Source organism: Homo sapiens, chromosome 2, assembly GCF_000001405.40.
Source record: "Homo sapiens chromosome 2, GRCh38.p14 Primary Assembly".
Taxonomy (NCBI): Eukaryota; Metazoa; Chordata; class Mammalia; order Primates; family Hominidae; genus Homo; species Homo sapiens.
In genome coordinates, this window is record NC_000002.12 from 230,563,762 (window position 1) to 230,574,502 (window position 10,741).

Consider the following 10,741-nt stretch of genomic DNA (forward strand, 5'->3'; position numbering starts at 1 on the left):
GGGCTCATATTCAGAGTATCTAAAGGACCCTTATACTTCAATATAAGAAATGCAGTGAATCCCAGAAGTAAAGATACTTGAATAGGAACTTCACAAAAGTAGATATTCCAAAGGTCAGTCTAAACACATGAAAGTGCTCTCTCATTAGCAGTTAGGGAAATGCAAATTCAAATCACAGTGAAATATCACTACACACCTAAATTGGCTAAAAAAAAAATTGCCAATACCAAATGTTGGCAAGGATATGAAAAAATTGGAACTTCTATAAACTGATAGTGGTAGTGTCAGTTGGTGCAATCACACTGGAAAACTGGCATAATCTTTTAAAGTTGGACATGCATATACTCTATAATTCAGCAATTTCACTCAGGCATACATAGTCAACAGGAATGCAGGCATGTTTGCAAATATTCATAATAATACTATTCATAATACCTCAGTACTGAAATTAATCCAAAGGTCTATCAACAGTAGAATGGGTAAAAACACTGTGGTACATTTTAATATATAAGTGGAATTTATAAAAAGTAATCTTCTATGTCTGACTTCTTTCACTTGAACTTAACATTTGTGAGATTCATCCACATCGTGGCAGGCTTCTATTGTTGGGAATCAGGATCGTGTTTTTGTCTTTGGAAAGGAGGAGGAGTCTGGTGGTTGGGAGGGGTCACAGAGTGGTTTCTGGGGTGATCGGTTTCTATCTTGATTTCTGTAGTGGTAGCATGGGTATGTTCATTGTGTGACAATTATTCTGTAGGCTTATGGTTTGTACGCTTTTTAGTATGTTATACTTCAATAAAAAATGTGTTTTTTACAAGGCAAAACAAATTTAAAAATTATTATTAAAATTATTATATAATGACATGTATCAAAACCATTGTATCTGTCTGAAAGTGATTCATCTAAAACATTTCTTTCTGTAAATTCTAGATAGTAATTTCAGCTGTCTTTTGAGACCTTTTCAAGGTTGTGACTAAATGACAATAGAAATCATTCTGTTAACATGAGTTTAAAGTTGTTTATTGTTTATCATTATTTTCCCCAAACACCTAGTGCTATGGTTTGACTGTGTCCACCAAAGTTCACGTGTTGGAAACTTAATCCCAATGCAACAGTGTTGAGAACTGGGACCTTTAAGAAGTAATTAGGTCACGAGGCTCTGTTTTTAATGAATGGATTAATTCCGTTATCCTGGGAGTAGGTTAGTTATCTTGAGAATGAGTTCCTGATAATAGCACAGTTTCTGCTCACTTCCCCTTTCTCTTTCACATTCTCTTCCCCTTCCGCCTTCCACCACAGAATGACATAGCAAGAAGACCCTCACCAGATGCCAGCACCTTGATATTGGACTTCCTGGCCTCCAGAATTAAGAAATAAATTTCTTTTCGTTACAAATTACCTAGTCTCGGGTATTCTTTTATAGCAGCAGGGGAAAAAAAAAAAAAAAAAAAAAACTAAGATACCCAGATAATATGAATTGCAATCAGAGTAAACTTAATCGGGAAACAGTAGTTCTAATTTCAAGCCCTGTTTGTGGCCATTTGGCATCTTCCTTGCCTGGACCACTTCTTGGTGCTGAGCTAGAGGTTTCCTATTACTCTATTAGTCACTTGCAGAGTAAGCCCTACTGAACTCCAAACAGAAATAAAACCCCTTGGAGGTTTTAGTGGTGCCCAGTGAGCCAACAGAAAAGGAAATCACGTAACAAGACTAGGGGCACCCGGGGAGCTCCAGGAACTCAGGAGTAGGACCAGGCCCACCTGACACCGCCCTGGTGTGACTCTCAGACGCATCTCACCAGCAGAGGTTAATGTGGCAGCAGCACTGTTGCCAGAGACAGAGAAAATTTTACCTACCACAGGCAGTTCTGCTTTGTCAACCTGCTTGCCATGTTCCTACACCTCACTACCATTCTGCTACTTACCCTTCCTGCTTGTCTACACATCTCTTCTGACTCTTATTCTTTTTCTTACCATGGATCATCTTGGAAGATAACTGTTAAAATGTTAAAAATGGCAGAGCCTCCAGCATCCTAGGTGTCTGAATGACTATGGGGGTCACAGTCCCCTAGCCTCTCTCCCAAAGCCCCCACAACTCCACTCATGACCTGGAACACTGTAGATTGTCCACAAAGCAAGAATTAATTTCTATTTAGTTTAGCAATTACAAAAGTTCAGGGTCTATTTAATATAACATAGCGTACCCTAACTAACAAAAAAGATTAATCTGGACTCTTCAGAACTTTTTGTTTTACTTGTGAATGATTTCACAATCAGATTTAATGTTTCATAGAAATTTTTTTATGTTCATTTGTGTACCAAGAATTCTGATTTGGACATACTTCTTTTCCTAACATGTATTTTCAGAGATTTCTCCCCAGCAACCAGTTAACTATAAAGCAATGAGAGGAAAACAGAAACAAAATCACGGGATGATCATTTCTCTCTGTGTATCTCTACCTTTCTAAGGAAAATGACAGCTATAAAAATGAATTCTAGCAATCAAAGGTGGTAATTCCAGCTCTTCCTTTAATTCCCTATTTGGCATTGTAAAAAGACAAGGGAAAAGTCACCTTAAGCATCTGTGGGCTTTCGTTTTGTCATGTATAAAACAGGGCAATCAGTAATTCATTCTGCTTACATTTCATGATTGTTGTAAAGTTAAAATCAGAGTTTTTTGCAAAACCTTTTGATAAACCACCACGTGTTCAATGACAAATAAAAAGTAAAATGAGAAAATATAAAGTAAAAATCTGCGCTGTTATTTATGAGACTGGATTAATAGATACAAAGTCAGTTGCAAAGTTAACAGGAAACAATATTTCTCCTAAGAACTTGCTGCAGATAAGCCAGGTGCTGTGGCTCATGCCTGTAATCCCAGCACTTTGGGAGGCTGAGGCAGGCAGATCACGAGGTCAGGAGTTCAAGACCAGCCTGGCCAACATGGTGAAACCCCGTCTCTACTAAAAATACAAAAATTAGCTGGGCATGCTGGCACATGCCTGTAATCCCAGGTACTCAGGAGGCTTAGGCAGGAGAATTGCTTGGACAAGGACCCAGGAGGCAGAGGTTGCAGTGAGCCGAGATGGCACCACTGCACTCCAGCCTGGGCTACAGAGCGAGAATCCATCTCAAAAAAAAAAAAAAAGAAAAGAAAAAAAGAATTTTCTTCAGCTATATAAAGTCACAACCCCCCACTATGGGGGTTTCAGAAAAAAAAACGCTGCACAGCAAAAAAAAAAAAAAAAAAAAAAAAAAGTCATAACAATCCCCCTTTTTATTTTTGTATCAAATATGTTTACCCAGAATCCTCTTTTTTGAATGAACACTGCTTTCTTACTTGTTAAGGAAACTTGCTGTCAAAAATCACACACATTTCTTCTGCCTCTGTTTCTTGCCTGGGGAAATGTTTGAAGATGGATCCCTGAATGGGTACGGGGATCTCTCCTCCTCCCTCCTTGCCCCCATTCCAACTCAACCTCCCTTAACCCAGAATAGAACCTATTTGAATGGTTTTCATATGTAACGAATAGACTTCTAGTGTTTAAGACATTCTACACCTGTTAAAAATAGATGGTAAAGGTTAAACACTTAACTTCTAGTATTTAAGACATTCTACACCTGTTAAAATAGATGGTAAAGTCCAGGGGCAGTGGCTCAGGCCTATAATCCCAACACTTTGGGAGGCTAAGGTGGGAGGATAGCTTGAGCCCCGAAGTTTCAGACCAGCCTGGGCAGAATAGCAAGACCCCATATCTACAAAAATTTGAAAAATTAGCTGGGTATGGTGTTGTGCACCTTCGGTCCCAGCTATTTAGGAGGCTGAGATGGGAGGATCACTTGAGCCCAGAAGGTCAAGGCTGCATTGAGCCATGTTCACACTACAGCACTCCAGCCTGGGTGACAGAGAAGACCCTGTCTCAAAACAAAAACAAAAACAAAAAAACATGGTGGAAACTCCCATTTAAAAAATGCTTTTTTTACTTATCAAAAATGTAGCAAACAATTAAAATGAGTCTTTTGTAAGAAAAATATGTACATTTTTACATTGACTTACCTTATTTGACATCATACCTAGTATGTATTTCCAAATTAATTTTGTTCATAAAATCCATGGAAGAGAAACAGTTGCTGGTTAATAAAGTTATAAATCAGCTGGGCACGGTGGCTCATATCTGTAATCCCTGCACTTTGGGAGGCTGATGTGGGTGGATCACCTGAGGTGAGGAGTTCAAAACCAGCCTGGCCAACGTGGTGAAACCCCATCTCTACTAAAAATACAAAAATTAGCCAGGTGTGGTGGCAGGTACCTGTAATCCCAGCTGCTCGGGAGGCTGAGACAGGAGAATCACTTGAACCCTGGAGGCAGAGGTTGCAGGGAGTCAAGATTGCACCACTGCACTCCAGCCTGGGCAACAAGAGTGAAACTCCATCTAAAAAAAAATAAAAGATAATAGTAAATTTAAAATAAAGTTATAAATCCTGAAACAATTAACACTGCAAACATGTTTGATTACTATTTCCCTCCCTTCTTTCTGAAGAAAACAGACACCCGCTGAACTGAGACTCGGGCATATATATTTTTGGTGCTACCTCTGCCCTCAATTCTCCATGTAACTTTGTAAAAGATCTTTAAACATTTATGTGCTTATGTTTCTGCATCTATAAAACAAGGATAATGACAGTTATCCTGCCTACCCATTATGAATGTTGTAAAGATACAAAAAGATGTTATTTCCAAAATTGTTTTGAAAAAAGTTTGTAGATAAGCCAATGGTATGCTGAACACCACCTGTCAGAAAGACTATTGTTTGGATCTTTTAGGTCTTCAAATTTTTGATGACATTATTATGTATCAAGCAATCAAAAATTACTTTTTTTTTTTTTTTTTTGAGATGGAGTCTCGCTCTGTCACCCAGGCTGGAGCGCAGTGGCGTGATCTCGGCTCACTGCAAGCTCTGCCTCCCAGGTTCACGCCATTCTCCTGCCTCAGCCTCCCGAGTAGCTGGGACTACAGGCACCGGCTACCATGCCCGGCTAATTTTTTTGTATTTTTAGTAGAGACGGGGTTTCACCATGTTAGCGAGGATGGTCTCCATATCCTGACCTTGTGATCTGCCCACCTCGGCCTCCCAAAGTGCTGGGATTACAGGCGTGAGCCACAGCACCTGGCCCAAAAATTACTTTTTTGTGATCTTTAGATGATGAGGGTTGTTTGGGGTGGAAATCTATACATAAAGGAAGGACCTCAATATGAACAGGTATGTGTTTTTTTCTGACACCAAATGTGTGGTGTCTTTTCCAACAACAAACACATTCTTCCAAAACCAATCAGTTCTTTAACTTCTCTGAAACCAACTGAGTATCCAACAATTCAGTTTATTTATTTTACCAATTACAAATGTTCAGGGTCTATTTAATATAACATAGCCTACCCTAATCTCTGAAAGTTGGGGTCAATGCCAACTCTGACACTACCCAGAGTTGGCATTGACCCCACAGGCTAAGATGTCAGTCCCACAAGACTGCCATACTGTAGATAACAATCATGAATGGGGTGACCAGGCCACCCACATTTCTGTGGAGAAGGCTACAACTTTAGGGGTTCACAGGACTTCCCTCAGGTTGGGTAATTCCTTAGAATGACTCACAGAACTCAGAAAGTATTCTACTTCTGATTATAAAGTTGTGTTCTTATAAAGAACACAACTGAGGGATGACTGGCTTTGTTGAGTGAGTGTGTGGAGGTGTTCTGGTGGCTGGATGTGACTGGCAATTCATAGCATCCTCATATCCGCTCACAGGTCAAAATGAAAATGTTCATGAGGACCTTGATCGGCAAGACCATCAACCTGGAGGTGGAGCCAGGGACACCATGAAAAATGAAAAATGTGAAGGCCAAGATCCCAGATACAGAAGGCATCCCCAGCCTCCTGAGTAGCTGGGATTATGGGCGTGTACCACCACAGCTGGTTTTTTTTTTTTTTTTTTTTTTTTTTTGGTAGAGATGGGGTTTCATGATGTTGGATAGGCTGGTCTCGAACTCCTGACTTCAAGTGAACCACGTTTATTCTTCACTCTCGCATTCGCAGTGCCCAGTGATGGCATTACTCTGCACTATAGCCATTTGCGCCCCAACTTAAGTTTGGAAATTACCAGTTTCAGTAAACAGTTGAACCTAATCAAAATGTTAGTCAAAGTTTTGTTGCATGGAAAAAAATAAAACCTCAGGAAGAACCAAATATAGCACAAGGTGTGGAAGGAGGGACAGAGCTTTCATGCCCTCTCCAGGTGAGCCTCAACCCCACCTCCAACACATAAATGTATTCACCAATTCAGAAGCTCCCTGAACCCTGTTGTTCAGGGGTTTTTATCAAGGTTTCATTATGTAGGCATGATTGATTAAATCCCTTGCCACTGGCAATCGACCTCGATCTTCTGCCCTTCTCTTCTCCCTAGACATCAAGGTTTAGGGTTGAAAATTCTAATCTTCCAATCATGTGGTTGGTACTTTTAAGACACCCATCGTTCTGGAATTTCCAAGAGTTTTAGGGACTTCGTGCCAGGAACTGGGGACAAAGATCAACTATGTATTTTTTAAAGTATACCACAGTAGGCCTGATCACCTGTGTATTAGTCTGTTCTCGCATTGCTATAAAGGACTACCTGAGACTGGGTAATTTATGAAGAAAAGCGGTCTAATTGACTTATAGTTCCACAGGCTATAAAGAAGGCATAGCCAAGAAGCCTCAGGAAACTTACAATCATGGAAGACGGCAAAGGGGAAGCAAATACATTTTACCATGGTAAAGCAGGAGAGAAAGAGTGAAGGGGGAAGTGCTACACACTTTTAAAAAAACAAATCTCATGAGAACTCACTCATTATGATGAGAACAACAAGGGGGTTGTCCTCCCCCATGATCCAATCACCTTCCTCCAGGCATCTCCTCCAACGCTGGGGATTACAATTCAACATGAGATTTGGGCAGGAACACAAATCCAAACCATATAATTCCTCCCTGGCCCCTCCCAAATCTCATGTCCTTCTCACATTGCAAAATACAATTATCCCTTCTCAATAGTCAACAGTCCCCCAGTTTAAACTCATTTCAGCATTAACACAAAAGTCCATAGTCCAAATTCTCATGAGACAAGGTAAGATCCTTCAGCCTATGAACCTGTAAAATCAAAAACAAGTTAGTTATTTTCAAGATACAATGGGGGTACAGGCATTGGGTAAATGCTCCCATTCCAAATGGGAGAAGTTGGCAAAAACAAAGAGACTATGATCCCATGCAAGTCTGAAACCCAACAGGGCAGTCATTCAGTCTCAAACCTATAATCTCCTTTGACTGTATGTCTCACATTCAGGCCACACTGATACAAGGGGTGGGCTCCCAAGGCCTTGGACATCTCCACCCTTGTGGCTTTGCAGAGTACAACACCCTCAGCTGCTTTCATAGGCTGATATTGGGTGCCTGTGGTTTCTCCATGTGCACGATGCAAGCTGTCAGTGGATCTACTATTCTGGGGTCTGGAGGTTGGTGGCCTTCCTCTCACAGCTGCACTAGGCAGTGCCCCAGTGGGAACTCTGTGTGGGGGCTCCAACCCCATATTCCCCTCTGCACTGCCCTAGTAGAGGTTCTCCATAAGGGCTCTGCCCCCTAAAGCAGACCTTCTGCCTGGACATCCAGATTTCCCATACATCCTCTGAGATCTGGGCAGAGGCACCCAAGACTCAGCTTTTGCACTCTGTGTACCCACAGGCTTAATATCACATGGAAGCTGCCAAGGCTTGGGGCTTGTACCCTCTGAAGCAATGCCCTGAACAGTACCTTGGCCCCTTTTAGCCACAGCTGGAGTTGGAGCAGTGGCAATGCAAGGTGCCATGTCCCAAGGCTGCAAAGTACAGTGGGGCCCTGGACTTGGCCCACAGAACCATTCTTCCCTCTTAGGCCTCCAGGCCTGTGATGGGAGGGACTACCGCAAAGGTCTCTGAAATGCCTTCGAGGCATTTTCCCTATTATCTCAGCTATCAACATTTGGCTCCTCTTTACTTATGCAAATTTCTGCAGCCAACTTGAAATCCTCTGCAGAAAATGGGTTTTTCTTTTCTTTTTCTTTTTTTTTTTTTTTGGAGGGACTGGTTCTTTATTTCAAAAAGACACTTGTCAATATTCAGTATCAAAACAGTTGCACTATTGATTTCTCTTTCTCCCAATCGGCCCCAAAGAGACCACATAAAAGGAGAGTACATTTTAAGCCAATAAGCTGCAGGATGTACACCTAACAGACCTCCTAGAAACCTTACCAGAAAATGGGGACTAGGTAGGGAAAGAAACTTTAAAAGATCAACAAACTGCCAGCCCACGGACTGCAGAGGCTGTTAGAGCCACATGGGGTGGCCAGGGTGCCACAAACCCAAAGAAGCAAAGTTTCAAAATAATATAAAATTTAAAAAGTTTTGTACATAAGCTATTCAAGATTTCTCCAGCACTGACTGATACAAAGCACAATGAGATGGCACTTCTAGAGACAGCAGCTTCAAACCCAGAAAAGGGTAATGAGATGAGTTTCACATGGCTAAATCAGTGGCAAAAACACGATCTTTGTTTCTTTCAAGGAGGCAGGAAAGCAATTAAGTGGTCACCTCAACATAAGGGGGACATGATCCATTCTGTAAGCAGGTGGGAGGGGGTAGAGATGGGACAAAATTTTGGTCTCAGAGGTCTTACCATCTTAATTTGGTCACTTCTAATGAAAAAAATAAAAAATAGAAATAACATTATCCAAAGATATCTTAAAGCTGAAAACTTGAACAGAACATTTCTTGTTTTTGTTGTTGTTTGGCTAGCTCCTCCTGGAATCACCTTTCTGGTTTAGCTAGTACTTTGTACAGAGCAATGAGGTTTCCCATAGTGGAGTCTCCTGGGCTCTGTTTGGCTCTCAGTAAGGCAGGCCTATACCTTTTCCTCTCCTCTATGGAGAGGGGAATATGCATTAAGGTGAAAAGTCACCTTCCAAAAGTGAGAAAGGGATTCGATTGCTGCTTCAGGGCTGTGGAATTATTTGGAATGTTTTACAAATGGTTGCTACAAAACAACAAAAAAGGTAATAACAAAATGTGTACATCACAACATGCTTTTTAAAGACATTATGCATTGTGCTCACATTCCCTTAAATGTTGTTTCCAAAGGTGCTCAGCCTCTAGCCCAGCTGGATTCTCTGAGAAGAGGCAGAGACAGTTTGGTGAAAAAGACACAGGGAAGGAGGGGGCGGCAAAAGGAGAAAGCAGCCTTCCAGTTAAAGATCAGCCCTCAGTTTAAGGTCAGCTTCCAGGAGGCTGGCCTCAGGCGGAGTCTGGGTCAGAGGGAGGAGCAGCAGCAGGGTGGGACTGGGGCGTTCTACATCTCATTCAGGTCAATCAGAGTCTGGTCCAGCATCCTTTGTGTACAGAGGTGCTCCTCTTTGGTGCGTTTCAGTTTATCTTCCAAGTCATCAATTGTCTTTTCCAGCTTGGCTACCGATCTCTCAGCAAACTCAGCACTGGTCTCTGCCTCCTTGAGTTTATCAGTAAGAATCTTGATCTCTTCCTCATATTTGTCTTCTTTTTGAGAGTACATTTCTTCAGCAGCACTCAGACACTTCAGGTTCTGGTCCATCAGTCTAATCTGCTCATCCATCTCTTGGCAACGGGACTCTCCCAGCTCAGCTCGTTCCTCCGTGCCTTCCAAGTCTCCTTCAATGATCACCAACTTATGAGCCACCTCTTCATACTTCCTATCTGCCTCTTCTGCAATGTGCTTAGCTTCTTGGAGTTAGATTTCCTGGAGTTCCATCTTTTCTTCATCTTTTAAGGCCCGATTTTCAACAACCTTCATACCTCTCTCACTCTCATCAGCAGCTTTTTCCGCTTCTTCCAGCTTTTGCAAGGCAGTGGCCAGGTACTCCTGAGCATGGTCCAGCTCTTCTTCAACCAGCTGGATCCTACGGTTCAAGGAGGCCACCTCAGCCTCAGCCTCTTCCCGGGCCTGCCTTTCTCCCTCAACTTCTCGCTGGAGGTGCTCAGCTCGCTCCTCTGCATCATCTGCCTGCTGCTGCAGAACCTGGATCTTGCACTTCACTGCCTCGATGGTGGTGATCTCAGCCACAGTGCCCACCCAGCTACTGCTCGTGCTCTGGTTCCTGCCTCCTCCCGGGTTTTTCTTTTCTACCACATGGTCAGGCTGCAAAATTTCCAAACTTTTATGCTCTGCTTCCCTTTTAAATATAAGTTCCCATTTCAGATCATCTTTTTGCTCACACCTATGGCAGTATGCTGTTAGAAGCAGCCAGGTCACATATTGAATGCTTTGCTCCTTAGAAATTTATTCCACCAGATGCCCTAAATCACCTCTCTCAAGTTCAAAGTTCCATAGATTCCTAGAACAGGGGCACAATGCCACCAGTCTCTTTGCTAAAGCATAGCAAGAGTGACCTTTACTCCATTTCCCAATAAGTTCTTCATCTCCTTCTGAGACCACCTCAGCCTGGACTTCACTGTCCATATGATGATCAGCATTTTGGTCACAACAATTTAACAAGTCTCTAGCATGTTCCAAACTTTCTCTCATCTTCCTGTCTTCTTCTAAGCTCTCCAAACTGTTCCAGTCTCTGCCCATTACCCAGTTCCAAAGTTGCTTCCACATTTTCAGGTATCTTTATAGCAATGCCCCTCTCCCAGTACCAATTTCCTGTATTAG

General features: G+C 42.1%; 1 pseudogene, besides 1 other annotated feature; it reads right to left on the reverse strand.

The window, feature by feature from the left end:
- Window positions 1,784–1,843: an enhancer, noted in NCBI's record as "active region_17226". NCBI's record gives its function as "activates an Ori minimal core promoter by ATAC-STARR-seq in GM12878 lymphoblastoid cells {active_cell/tissue: GM12878}" and the evidence as "EXISTENCE:reporter gene assay evidence [ECO:0000049][PMID:35858748]".
- On the reverse strand, window positions 8,134–10,195 carry TPM3P8 (tropomyosin 3 pseudogene 8; annotated as a pseudogene).